Source organism: Homo sapiens, chromosome 6, assembly GCF_000001405.40.
Source record: "Homo sapiens chromosome 6, GRCh38.p14 Primary Assembly".
NCBI lineage: Eukaryota > Metazoa > Chordata > Mammalia > Primates > Hominidae > Homo > Homo sapiens.
In genome coordinates this window covers 158,326,393-158,341,226 of record NC_000006.12, presented here as the reverse complement: position 1 = coordinate 158,341,226, position 14,834 = coordinate 158,326,393, and the positions used below count along the sequence as shown (strand labels likewise).

The following is a 14,834-nucleotide window of genomic DNA, read 5'->3' as shown; positions in this document are numbered from 1 at the left end:
TTATGTTAAATGAAATAAGCCAGGCACAGAAAGACAAATGACGTGTGGTTTTCACTCATACGTAGGAGCTAAAGAAAAAAATTGACCTCATGGAGATTCTGAGTAGAATGACAGTTACCAGAAGCTGGGAAGGGTTGTGGGGAGGAGGGAATAAAGAGAACATGGCTAATGGGCATAAAAATACAGTCAGATAGAAGGAATAAGATCTAGTGTTCAGTAGCATACTAGGAAAATCCATGGCTCTGCAAAGGCTTAAACAAACAAACAAAAAAACACACACAAAAAAACAGAGAGAGCCTTAAAATTCTTTAACTCCTCAGTCTTGCTTCATTTGTGCCCTCTCAAGCAGCTCAGCAATCCCACAAAGGCTCTAACTCAAGCAACCGTTGTTAAACTAGAGATGCAAGATGTGCACACATCCCTAAAAATAACAGAAGGCAGTAAGTTATATGCCCAGCAAGTGGTACAAACAGTAAGGATGAGGGCCTGCGAAGGACTCTCTGGAATCACTGGGTCCAAGTGGTCAGGGCGCTTTGTCGAGGAGGTAGGACTCAGCGGAGTCACCTTTTCTCCTCTTAGAAAGAGAGAAGGTGCATCTTGAGGAGGGAACTCCAGGAGGGCAGGCTAGGGAAGGACATCAGAACATGTTCTCAGAAGACCCAGGACTCAATGCAGGTGCAGGGCCTGGTTTGGGAGCAGTACGGTCAACTCTGTGGAACCACCCCTTTCCTCCAGAGGGATAATATCAGCTGACGAGATATGCACACCCACACACGCTCACCCTGTGTGCACACAGAGGAGGGCCCAAGCAGCGTCAGGGCAGGAGGGAAAGACTCACTTAGGCACACTCAGGAACAAACATAAGAAAATAAAGCTAAATTAATGAGGACTTAATTCAATAAATATGATTATACTCAACACTTAGGAGTGGTCCTACAATTTGCATGTCTATACTACTATTTCAGGTTCATTTTAATGGCTAATTAGTTATAAAACAATTCTGATACACTTCTTTCCCCCCAAAAAACCCATTTTTCTCTAGTCACCAAATTATCAAGGTTACTGTACATTCCACCAAATGAAATTACAGATCTCTGAACATGTCCTACTGCCTACAGTAAGGTCAACTCACCTTGCACGAGCAGATCCACATCAACTAAGCTCACCTGGCCAATACAATTAAGGTATCCTGAGCTCCACGGCCTGTTGCGGGAACTCAGGGACCCCGAACAGAGGGACCAGCTGAAGCCATGGCAGAAGAATATAAATTGTGAAGATTTCATGGACATTTATCACTTCTCCAATCAATATTCTTGTGATTTCCTATGCCTGTCTTTAATCTCTTAATCCTGTCATCTTTGTAAGCTGAGGATGTATGTAGCTTCAGGGCCCTGTGATGATTGTGTTAACTGCACAAATTGTTTGTAGAGCATGTGTGTTTGAACAATATGAAATCTGGGCACCTTAAGAACAGGATAACAGTGATTTTCAGGGAACAAGGGAGATAACCTTAAAGTTTGGCTGCCTGTGGGCCGCACAGGACAGAGCCATATTTCTCTTATTACCAAAAATGGGTAAGAGAAATATTGCTGAATTCTTTCCCCAGTAAGGAATATTAATAATTAACAGCCCTGGGAAAAGAATGCATTCCCAGGGTGGGGCCTCTAAAATGGCCACCCTAGGAGTGTCTGCCTTATGCAGATGTAGATAGGGATGAAGCACATCCTAGTCTCCTGCAGCACCCCCAGGCTTGCTAGGATTAGGAAATTCCAGCCTGGCGAATTCTAGTCAGACCGGTTCTCTGCTCTTGAACGCTGACAATGTGTGCACAGCGGGACACAGAAGTTCTTTAGTGGTTCTAGTTTCGCCCTGACCTTGTGATCCCGCCCTGACCTTCTGCCTTGTGATCTTTTGTCGCCCTTGAAGCATGTGATCTCTGTGACCCACACCCTATTCGTAACACCCTCCCCTTTGAAAACTGCTAATAAAAACTTGCTGGTTTTACGGCTCGGGGGCATCACAGAACCTGCCGACATGTGATGTCTCCCCCAGGACACCAGCTTTAAAATTTCTCTCTTTTGTACTCTTTTCCTTTATTTCTCAGACTGGCCGACACTTAGGGAAAATAGAAAAGGACTCACGTTGAATTACTGGGGGCAGGTTCCCCTGATATCTGGCACACCAATGTGTTTTTTTCTTTTTCCCAAGTGCAAGACTTTTTCCCAAGTGTAAGACTCAGTCTTACATGCAAGCACAGGGAATGCCTGCCCGCTCAGGAGGGCTTATACCTGCATGAGAAGAGCTGTCATCAGAGACTCACAGGAAGGGAGTTCTGAAAACAAAGTGAGGCAACATTTCCCAGAGCCAGAGAGAATATTTGTCAATCAAGACCTATCTCAAAAGCAAGGTTCAGGAAATGTGATCATTCCCCACCTGCAGAGTACCCTCTTTACCTGTAACTACCAATCCCACCTGGTCCCTCTCTGGTCCTGGCTCTACCCCAAAGTAGTAATTTAGGTCCCTGGGCCAAGTTTACCTTCCAACCTGCTAGCCTCTCTATTCCCCACTGCAGGTGCAACATAACATGGCTGATTCAATGTCACAAATATCAAACCAGCCTCTAGTATGCGGAAATGTGGAATGCTAAATTCCGCAAAGGATACAGGGTCACTGCCCAGCTTTGGAACGGTTCACACCTCAGCAGCACTCCTTTAGCAGAGACTGGCCCAGAATGAGCTGGCAGGTGCAGACTGAGACATGCACTTCAATAAGCTGGCTGCATGAGAGTGTCCAAAATAAGGTTTAATTGCAATATCATGTTCACTAAATTATGTGTCCTTTACACCTATCATTTTAAATGTCTGTTTTTGATTGTTATTATTCATTACACTTTAAAGTATAATTTGGGCTGGGTGGGGTGGCTCACATCTATAATTCCAGCACTTTGGAAGACTGACTATAATTCCAGCACTTTGGAAGAGGATTACTTGAGGCCAGGAATTCAAGGCTGGAGTGAGCTATGATCACACTACTGCACTCCAGCCTAGGTGACAGAGCAAAGACCCTGTCTCAAAAATAAATAAATACATAAAGTGTGACTTGTATGGAAATGCTTCCATCAGGTGCTCTGAAGACTGTTACCATAGAGACCAGTAACTTGACTGTTTCATGGCCCTAAATTGTACCTACCCTTCAATAACTACGGCCAGAGTCATGAGAATTCACTGTTGGGTGGAGACAGGTTGGGTGAAAGTGTGACTTTACCCACTTGACCTTTCTTCAGCTACTTTCTAGCCTTTAATTTTCTTAATCTTAAAAATGAGATGGTTTCTAAGGCCTTTCCAAGATTCGATATTCCTCTGGTTTCTTCTGTTTCCTACTTTTAGTACCTTTGTTTCAGTCCCAAAAGTGCTTAACTGCTTTAAAAAAAAAAAATCAAACATTCACTTCTTTCTAGAAATAATTTTTGAATACTCTTGGTCTTTAGGAGTATTGGTCAGATAAGTCGATTGATTGGTATCCAGTGCACTTGACACTTTGTTGTTTCTATTTGTTTGCACACTGTGGGTGCAGGGACTTGGCTTTGGTGCCTTAAAATAAAAGGTAAATCATGTATTTCTTCTTGTACTCACTTTAATTCCAGGAAGGGAATCAGTGCCAGGGCTTTAGTGACACTGATGGCAGAAAGGTATTTGAGGACCTATTTTTAGTCCTCCACCTGTTTCACACACAGATGCATTCACTATCCATTGCTTCAGTCTGTATCAGGGAGAAAAGGCTAAAAATTTTTACAGCTGAACGGGAGTGGTGGCTCATGCCTGTAATCCCAGCACTTTGAGAGGCCAAGGCAGGTGGATTTCTTGAGCCCAGGAGTTCAAGACCAGTTTGGGCAACATGGTGAAACCCCATCTCTACAAAAAATACAAAAAAATAGCTGGGCATGGTGGTGTGCACCTGTAGCCCAGCTACTAAGCTGAAGTGGAAGAATCACCTGAGCCCAGGAAATTAATGCTCTGCAGTGAGCCATGATTGAACCACTGCACTCCAGCCTAGGCAACAGAGAAAGACTCTGTCTCAAAAAAAAAAAAAAAAAAAAAAGAGAAAGAAAGAGAGAGAGAGAAAAAAAGAGAGAGAGAGAGACAGAAAGAAAGAAAAGAAAGAAAGAAAGAAAGAAAGAAAGAAAGAAAGAAAAAGAAAGAAAGAAAATTTTACAGCTCATAACCTTTCCTTTCCAAATAACTTCAGCCCTGCAATAAAATGAACAGAGCTCTAAGACACTAGTGAGACTTGGATTCTATTCTGAGCAAAATGCTCTATGAAATCAGGAAGAAAACATCTTAAACAAAATGACCCGTTTAACAGGCAAGAACCTTAAAAAAAAGAAGTGAATTGGTCATAGGGACTAATTCAAAATAGACCAAAAAATCAAAGTTTTAAAAAAATGACTTATATTCCCATTTTTGTCCCTAAGTGAAATTCTAACTTTACCTGAATAGTTAGTTATCTCTCTGTTCTTTATCTATTTTTAGAAGGCATTTAAAAACAAATTGCCTGGCAGGTCTCAAAGTGCTTGATTAGTATTTGTCCTGCTATAAGGAAGTCATGAATGAAAAATCCCCTAATGAGGACAAAATACATGTTGATTTTCTTACCAATAGTATTCTTTTTTCTGAGTCTTTTTCTAAGCTACAAGAAAATATGGGTGAATTCCTCTATCACTTACATGTGGAAAAAGACTTTCCAATTATGACTCAAAATCCAGCGCAATAAGAGACTGACAAATTTGACTAGATAAAAAAAAGTTTTAAACCTTCTGCATGGCAAAAAATACACTAAGCAAAGTCAAAGTTAACAAATTGAGAGAAGACATTTGTAATATACACCACAGATAAAAGACTAATATTACTGTCTCCAATATACATAGACATTTTACAATTTGAAGGTGACCAAAATTTCTATAGAAAAATAGATGAAAGATATAGACAATTCACAAGATTTTTAAAATGGCCCTTAAATGTTTGAAAATATGTTCAACCTTACTCATAATAGGAGATATCCAAATTAAAACCACACTGCAGTGCCATTTTCTTCTACCATATTGGCAACAATGTAAAAGCTTGGTAATATACTATGGGTGAAGCTGTGGGAGAAAATGGTATTCTCATAAATTGCTGCTGGGAATGCAAAATGGTTCATCATTATGGAAAGAAGTTTGGCAATATCTAAGAAAACTATATATGTCTTCACATTACAATGCAGCGATTTCACTTCTAAGAATTTACCCTGAAGATACACGTCCAACATACACACAAATTATTCACTGCAGCATTATCTGTAATTGCAAAATACAGGAACTCCCTAAGCATTCAAACTTGGAGAGTTGTTGGGTAAAATATAGTACTACGATATACAGTAGTATATGTGTATACATAATGGCACACCATGTGCTGTAAAAAAGAAATGAGGAAGATGCACATGAACTGACATGGAATGATCTCCAGATGTTAAACGAAAACAGCGAAGTGCAAAAACAGTCCTTTTGTCAAAGGCAGAGAAGAAAATAAGAAAACATAAATATACACCACACACATCTGCCTATTTTTACAGAAGGAACAAAATAAATCAGAAAATAATGAAGTTAGTATCTACAAGATGGGTGGATGAAGTGGGAGGGATGAATGTAATGTTACTTCTCTGGATATACCTTTTTATGTGGTTTTGACTTTCAAATGCATGTTAATGTTCTATATATTCAAAACATAAAATCATAAGAATGAAGAGGAAAAGATCAAAAAACTAAAAGCAAACTGAAACAAAAACAACTGTATTTTAAATGAATTACTTAACCACATTAAGTAATTAAGTATAATTACTTAAGTATATGTGTCACTATAACAAAGTACCTGAGACTGGGTACTTATAAAGAACAAAAATTTTTTTTTTTTTTTTTTTGAGACAGTCTCGCTCTGTTCACCAGGCTGGAGTGCAGTGGCATGATCTCAGCTCACTGCAACCTCTGCCTCCCGGGTTCAAGTGATTCTCCTTCCTCAGCCTCCCAAGTAGCTGAGATTACAGGCACCTGCCACCACACTCTGCTAATTTTTTGTATTTTTAGTAGAGACCGGGTTTCACCATGTTGGCCAGGCTGGTCTCGAACTCCTGACCTTGTGATCCGCCCGCCTCAACCTCCCAAAGCCCTGGGACTACAGGCCTGAGCCACTGTACCTGACCAAGAACAGAAATTTATTTTTTCACAGTTGTGGAGGTTAGGAAGTCCAAGATCAAGGTGTCAGCAGAGATGGTGTCTGGTGAAGGCCTGTTCCTCATAAATGCCACCTTCTAGGTGTCCTCACACAGCAGAAGAGCAGAACAGAGAAATAAAGCCCTTCCTCAAGCCCTTTTATAAGGAGTCTAATCCCATCCTTGAGGGTTTCACCCTCATGACTTAATCACCTCTTTAAGGCCTCACCTCTAAATATGATGACATTGGCTGTAAAGTTTCAACATGTGAATTTTGGAGGACACATTCAGACCACTGCACACACTGAAAGGGGAGTAGAGGGTAATCAATATAAGCAACTTAGGAGCTTCCGTATTTAACTACAGCTAACCCCTGAACAATGCGGGGGTTAGGGGTGCCAACCCCCACACAGTTGAAGATCTGCATATAACTTTTACCTCCCCTAAAACTTATTTACTCATGTCTATTGCTGATCAGTAGCCTTACCAATAACATAAACAGTAAATTAACATGTATTTTGTTTTATGTATTATATACCATATTCTTACAATAAAGCTAGAAAAAGAAAACATTATTAAGAAAATCATAAGGAAGAGAAAATACATTCACCGTACTGTACTGTATTTATCCATATGGCAAGTTTACACTTCCTGTTTACAAGATGAACTATCTGTCTGAAATGGCAGCCACCCCAGCTGCAGACCTGTCTCCAGCACCTATCAAGTAATTCAACTTTTTCTTGTAATGTCATGACTTTTCTCTGCTTCTTGGGAGCACTTCCAGCATCACTAGTGCCATTTCATATGGATCTCATGGTGGTTATTCAAGGTTTACAGTATTGCACGAAACAGGAGGAAAAATACATGAGAACAGTGAGAGGGCACTTTTTACTGTGATGCGCAATTCACTGGGGACAAACTGCTCACACTGGGATGACAAGCATCACACAATATTTTAAGCGGATACTCGCGACACTGGAGCTCATTGCAATAGCAACAGGACGAGGCTACAAAATTATTACAGTAGTGTAGTACATACTACAGTTAAGTTTATGCAGTTACAATTTAATACTACTACATCTTTATGTTTGTCTGTATTTCCCTTGACTGAAAGTAGCACCACGTGTGGTCTGTTTGTGCGTGTAAGTTTTGATAAATTTTAACATTTTATAATAAATTTGTATATATTTTAGGGTAGCCAGTAAATGACAAAATAGAACAGTACCTGCATTTATTTTATGCATTCATGACACGTTTTCTTAATTTTTTCAATATTTCTAGGCTATGCAGCTCATCTGTGAATTTTTTCAAATTGTCACAAATCTCTAAAAATTGTTCCAATATATTATTGAAAATCTGAGAATAAGTAGACTCACACAGAGGCCAACTGTACATAGCTAGTTTGGGAAGGTGGGCAGAGGGAAGGTGAAGAAGAACTGCAAGCAAATTCTGAACTTTTCTGTATTAGCCTGCTTGTGCTGCCATATCAAATACCATAGACTGGGTAATTCAAACAACAGAAATTTATTTCTCACAGTTCTGGAGGCTAGAAAGTCCAAGGTTAAGGTGCTGGCAAGGTAGGTTTCACCCTGAGAGCTCTTCTCATTTATAGGTGGCCACCATCTCACTGTGAGCTCACATGACCTCTTCTTCGCGCAAGCTCTCCGATGTGTCTTCTTTTAGGGCACTAATCTCATCACGAGGGCCCCACCCTCATGACTTCATCTAATGTTAATTACTTCTTAGAGGCCCCTTCTCCAAACATCATCACATTGGAGGTTAGGGCTTCAACATATGAATTTTTGGAGGATACAAACATTCAGTCCATGACATCCTTTTGGTAGGTTTGGTTTTTATATTAGTACAGGTGTAGTAAACCTGAAATTATTTTTAGATGTATTATAGCATTAAGCAAACTATGGAAGAAGGGATTACAAAAACGAAATGGGGGAAGGTATAGGGGTGGTCTGGAATTGGAAATACTGGTGTAAATTCATGATTTCTAAAACACATATATGTAATGTGTATACATATATGCATGTATGTACGTGTGTGTGTATGTCAGTTTATTGCCTCTCAGCTCCCAACCCATCAATACGTGCTCTATAATAAACAATAGAATTCCTTTAAACATTCCTCCTTTAAAGTGAGCACAAGGTTAAGCTTTCTCCAGAAAAAGGACTAGAGGGACACCACAAGATGAAAATAGTTCCTGAAACTTCCAGGGCTCTTCAGAGTGGAAGATGCCATGAAGGTATGAGAAAATCCAGGAAAGTCCGCCTATCCAATAGCCCAGCACACAGTCCTATGACCTTACAGCTTTGGCCTAGTGACAATCTTTCTATAGCTCCTCAACATAGAAACCAGTGATCCTGCCACTTGTCCATACTCCCAGCTGCCAATGGCCTGAGGGTCAAAAAGTGAGTAGTCACTCCTTCTGCAAGTCCCTCTCCATCCCATCCCCTGCATGGGCCATTCACTTTGAAGGCCCTCTGCCCACACTCCACCACTACCATGGAGGGACAGCCTCCTCCCTTGCCTGCACTCCAGAGGGTTATTTACTGATTGCCCAACAACTCTAGACCAGCTCTAGTCTAACTAAGCTAACAAACTTCCGTGCTATGTGCTAGGCTGAACCACACCTTCTCCAATAAGATCTGAACCCCTTCCCAGCTTATCCTCCCTTGCATCATCTCCTTCGGCCCTAGGGTACTATACAGAGTCTCTTTATATCTTACTGTTTCTCTCTTTTCAATTTATATATATATATATATATATATATATATTTTTTTTTTTTTTTTTTTTTTTTTTTTTTTTGACAGAGTCTTACTCTGTCGACCAGGCTGAAGTGCAGTGGCGTGATCTCGGCTAACTGCAACCTCCGCCTCCCGGGTTCAAATGATTCTCCTGTCTCAGCCTCCTGAGTAGCTAGGATTATAGGTGTGTGCCACGATGCCTGGCTAATTTTTGTATTTTTAGTAGAGATGGGGTTTCACCATGTTGGCCAGGCTGGTGTCGAATTCCTGACCTCGGGTAATCCGCCCACCTCAGCCTCCCAAAGTGCTGGGATTACAGGCGTGAGCCACCGTGCCCGGCAGTTAATTATTCTTTATATTAAACTTCCTGTGTTTAACCCACTGTGTGGTTTCCGTCTCCTAATTGAACCCAGACTGCTACTGAATGTGTGTATGTAGGTATGTGTGTGTGTATATATACGTGTATATATACACGTGTATATACACGTATATATATACGTATGTGTGTGTGTGTGTGTGTGTGTGTGTGTGTGTGTGTGTGTCTGTTGAACGAGTCCAGCAGCAAAGATATTCCGGTAACAATGAACACCTCTAGAGGCCAGATGTTGGTTTCTAATACCATTCCCCATTGAAACAGCATTCCTCAGAGAAATTACTGCTTCCAGACCCAGGGCAGGGTAAGTACAAGATGATGCTGAAACATCTTGTTAAGCTAGAAAATAAATAAAGAGGTGCCCACCTACCACTGCCAGTGACTGGGGTGCACCAAAAGGACACGAGCCAACCTAAAGGGGCTCCTGCTGGCCAAATCTGGGACACTTTGACCAAATTTGAATCCAAATAATCAAAGGAAATAATCATTGAAGAAAAAAGTGGAAATCCAAGAGTTCACAGATAGGTAGGTGGGTGGATAGGGAACAACAGGAGGCTCTTGATTACATCTGTCAGCTGCCAGTACTCATGGAGGGAGTAGTGGAATTGGAAAATCACCGTTTTTGCAACCATCATAGAAAAGACTGGCTCATGGAAGAATCATCAATGGATCATAAATCTAGGGAAGAAATTCTGATAAGGAATAGGATATTTGCATGGTTTTGAAGTGATCTCTCAACAGATTATCAAATACAGGGGGAAAAAAACCAATAACAACACAGTTGAGAAAATGGACAGCACTTTGGCCAGGTGATCAAAATTAACATCACCAATGAGGGGCAGATAGCTACTGTGCACCTCCACATGTGACACCCTGAAAAGGACACATCATTTATGTAGTATTCTGGCTTGGGATGATTAATCTAAATTTAATAACAAAAACAAAAGAAAAAAGGGAAAAAAACACAAAATACCAAACATTCTATTAAAAAGAAAGAGGAGCATTCTTCTAAAAGGTCAATGTCATAAAACATAAGGAAAAACTGAAGAGCTATTCCAGATTACAGGGGTCTAAAGATACCTAACAACTAAATGCAGTGTGTGGTCCTAAACTGTATCCTGTGTAGAGGAATAAAGAAAAACTACAGAGGATAGTTCATCAGTTGACAAAAGTGGAGTATGGAGAATAATTTAAGTATTGAATTGACGTTAAATTTCCTGAAGTTGATAACTAACTGTACTATAGTGGTTATGTTCTTGTTCTTAGGAAATACACATTGAAGTATTTTAGAGTAAAGGACCAAGATGTACACTCTCAAATGATCCAGGGGGGAAGAACACCTTACATATATAACAAGAGAGAGAAAGAGAGAGAGTGTATGCGTGCACATGGAAGTGCAAAGGACAGAATAAAGCAAAATGTTCATAGCTGAATTTGAGTAAGAGTATTCTTTGTACTTTATTCCAATTTTTATAGTTTGAAATTATTTCCAAATAAAAGGGTTTTTAAATGCCTTTTATCCAAGGTCCTATTGGACATTCATTAACAAGTTCTCTGGGTAAGCATGGAGCTCTGCCACAGCCCTCAAAAAGAAAGAGACTTGTCTAAAACTACAGTCCAATATGGTAGTTACTAGCCACATGTGGCAACTGGGCACTTGCCAGTGTGGCTAATCCAAATTGAGATGTGCCAGATTTCAAAGACTTAGTATAAAAAAAAGAGTATCGGTTATCAAATTAGTAGTTTGTATATCGATTACATGCTGAAATATTTTAGATATATTGAGTTAAAGTATATTAAAAATTAATTTCACCTGTTTCTTTTTACTTTTAATGTGTCTATTTAAAATTTAATATTACATATGTGGTTAATATTATGTTTCTATTGCACAATGCTGATTTAAAATATAATAATGCTTTTTTTAAAAAAGAGATATTGATCACTTAAACAAGTGTTTCATTACTAGGGGAAAATTTCAGTTTACATTACAGAGCCTGACTCCCCTAAGGTGTTTTCAATCTTGAAAATAGTTAGGTTTTTCAAAGCACAATTAAAGGAAAACAAAATTTTAAGGCCTAGGAGACAAGCAAAAGCTCTTTGGTCATGTTTAAGTGATTCCCTAATTAGTCACAAATGCCATCTGTAGCGAATTTCCTGAAGAGGTTAAAAAAAAATCTAAAATTGTGAAAAACATCAAGTGAATGGAGAGACAATAGATGGTTTTTACACTCTTGTTTTCTGTATAAAATTAACTTCCCAAGTCCTAAACATTAACTCATACTGCCTTTTTAAACAAAGCCATCAAACATTTATTTCTGCTACCAAGGAGTTTACAAAATAGAGCTTTCTGACAAGGATGGTGCTTTCGAGGTTATTCTTCTTTTTTTTTTTTAATGTTAAGGTTCTGATTAATGAACTCTTCCTTAAACTCTAAAAATTTAATCAGCAAAGAAAGAACAGAGCTAAAACATACAAATCTCGGTTTTGCCTTAAACGTTGTCACAGGGATTATATACAGGGAGGAAAAAGAAAGGCTGGAAGTGAGCTTGACTAGGAGGATAAAGAAAAGTCCCTAAGATAGAGACAATCTCCTCTGTATTTTAGTAGACCAAATCTAACTAGGCCAAGTGGAAAAAACAACACATGTCAGTAAGAATTCCCTAAAACAGCAACAATGAGGAAGAGAAACCAAATGTAGGTTGCCAGAAGGTACAATAAAAACACCCAGCAATAGAATCTTGGGCAAAATGCACAGGTGTGTTTGTTTTGGAAGTTTGGAGTCAAGGTTGTGGGTGGACCCAACTGGAAACACCAAACTGTTGCACAGTACAAATTCTCACGTTTTTCCTTGTGGCACCCTTCCCACCCATCCTATACCATATCCCAGAGAAATGACCAACTTCTAGACAAAAACCTCCTAGTAAAATACGATACCCACTGCCCAGTGCACTAAGGATTCATTTCTGTGTTTCTGACTAAAACCCTCGCTGTTGAAGGCCCAATAGGTAGCTCCATGCAGAGCTGAGGCCCCAAGTCAGGCTCTGCTGGCTTGCGAGGCGGGAAGATGAATGAACTGCACAAGATGAGTCTAGAATGCCTTACAGATTAGGCACATTAGTGTCCAGTGTCCTAGAATCCCAAACCTGTAACAGAACTAGTGGCAAAAGTCCCTCCTCCCCACACAGCGGGGACACCTCCCACCTGTACTAACCTCTCACCTGCCTCCTGCCTCACATTCCATTCCCACATTTAGCAACCATGAGGGCACTCCTCTCCCCTGCTGAGCCATATGAGATGTAACTAGGCAATTCTTCTCTCCACCAACATCAGGCACTGAAGGGTTATTCTCTGGGTTAGCCACAACTCGTTTTGGGAATCTCAGGCACAGCAGAGATAGTGACAAGGATTGAAAACAAGAATGATGTTGTGAAAAGCCAAATACATAGAATCTAGAAGGTTCCTGAGTTCAATTTCAGCTCTGTCAATTAGCAGAGATGCCTTACTTTGGGCAAGCTGCTTAACGTCTCTGTACCTCACTTTCCTCATCTAAAAAAAAAAGATGACAATAACAGGTGCAAAGCTGCAGAGCTGATGTGAGGACTGAGTGAGCTATAGCACTTAGGATGGTGTCTGGTACAAAATAAATACTCAATATTAGCTCCTCCTCCTCCCTCCTCCTGCTCCTCCAACTTTCATATAACTAGGTCTACCTCTTTCCCAGCACGCACGCACACACACACACACACACACACACACACACACACACACACACACACACCAGCTCTGAGAATGCTGGCAACAGGAGTATATTCACAGGTGTGTGACTGGAAGTTTCTTACTGAAAGAAACTGGACCACTACGGAGAAAGCTGCTTGGATGCTGACCTTTGGCAGTCCCAAGAAAACAGCTGGTTCTCCCCCAGGTCATTATATAATACAATAAAGCTCACCAGCTAAACACCCCCTACATATACACACACAAAAGATGCCAAAGAGATTCATGGTGCACTACTCTTACATTTGAATAAATAGTCAAGGATCATTAGACATTTAAAGAAGACCTCAATTATAAAAAATCTGGGTGGTGGTGGGGAGATTCACACAGAACCACCCCTATACACACTCACACACACCTCTTTAAAAAACCTCAAAAAAAGCAGATCTAATGCATGGACAAAAAAAAAATTGTTTAAAACCATAATTTGTATCCTCACAGAAGTATGAGAAAATATAGTGCCCATAAAATAAGAACTGGAGCAGCCAGTAGATTAGAACAAGATGTTAGAAATGAAAACCATCATGGCTCTGAAATAATTTTGATTAGAAAAGCTTAAAAAATAAAGTAAGGAAATCTCTCAGAAAGTCAAACATGTAAAACTTTAAAAGTCAGGAAGTTATTCTAAGAGGTTAAACATCTGACTAGTAGGTTAGAGAAAACAGAGAAAATCCAGGATGCAGGTGGGTAGTAATTCTTAAAGCAACAACAACCAAAAAGCCCTGGAACTGAAGAGCATCGTTTCCACCAAATGGGTCTCTACCTTGTTAATGTGAAAAAAGTTACTAAAGCAGACCATTATGAAATTTCAGAATACCTAGAAAAAAGAACACATGCATAAACTTTTGAATGTTTTTTAGGTCACATATAAAGGACCTAGAGTAATAATAGTCAATTTTAAAAAGCCCTCATCATGTGCCAGCCACTTTTCTAAATGGCTATAGTAACCACTGAATCCTTACAACAAATCCCATATGAGGAAAGTATTATTTATAAATCCATTTCACAAATGAGAAAATCATAGTACAGTCTGGTACACAAGGGGGATGGTTGCAGGACTGTGCACGTATACCCAAATTCTCACATACTCAAATCCCGCAGTCAGCCCACAAGAACTTAAGCATACAAACGTTGATTTTGTGTATAATCCTCTCCATATAAACATGGATTTTGCATCCCAGAAATACTGTATTTTTGATCCGTATTTGATTGAAAAAATTCCACATATAAGTGGATCCACAAAGTTCAAACCATGATAGTCAAGGGACAACTATAAAGATAAATTAGATAATATATTTAAAGTCATGGCATTACTAAGTGATGGAGCTAGAACGTAAACTGAGTCTAGCTCCGGGGCCTGAGCTCTTAACTACTATGCTTCTAAAAACTCTGGAAATGTGAAGACAAAATTCTGAAGAAAACTACCTAGAAATCTGTACCCAGCCAAACTATCAAGTGTGAAAGCAATTAAGACATTTACAGAGATTAAAAGTCTTATACTTTATGACTTACAAATACTTTCTTAGGAAGATACTGGAGATTATGTTCCAACAAAAAGGAGTTTAACCAAAAAAATACAAGATTCCATAAACGACACGTGGAATAAATAGGGGGCAAAGAGAATTCCCAAGATGATGATTAAAAGGAAGTTCAGGAAATCACCTGGGCAGCAGGCCCACTGAGCAACCAAT

The 14,834-nt window shown here is 39.7% G+C and overlaps 1 protein-coding gene across 14 annotated transcripts in view, besides 1 other annotated feature; it reads right to left on the bottom strand.

Moving 5' to 3' along the window:
- The window catches only part of TULP4 (TUB like protein 4), a 279,634-nt gene that overhangs the window by 170,602 nt on the left and 94,198 nt on the right, over positions 1-14,834 (bottom strand). The gene's annotated exons all lie outside the window — the stretch shown is intronic.
- Positions 1,553-2,085: an enhancer, noted in NCBI's record as "OCT4-NANOG hESC enhancer chr6:158760174-158760706 (GRCh37/hg19 assembly coordinates)". NCBI's record gives its function as "activates a minimal SCP1, AML or CMV promoter by ChIP-STARR-seq in primed H9 embryonic stem cells {active_cell/tissue: H9 hESC(primed)}" and the evidence as "EXISTENCE:reporter gene assay evidence [ECO:0000049][PMID:30033119]".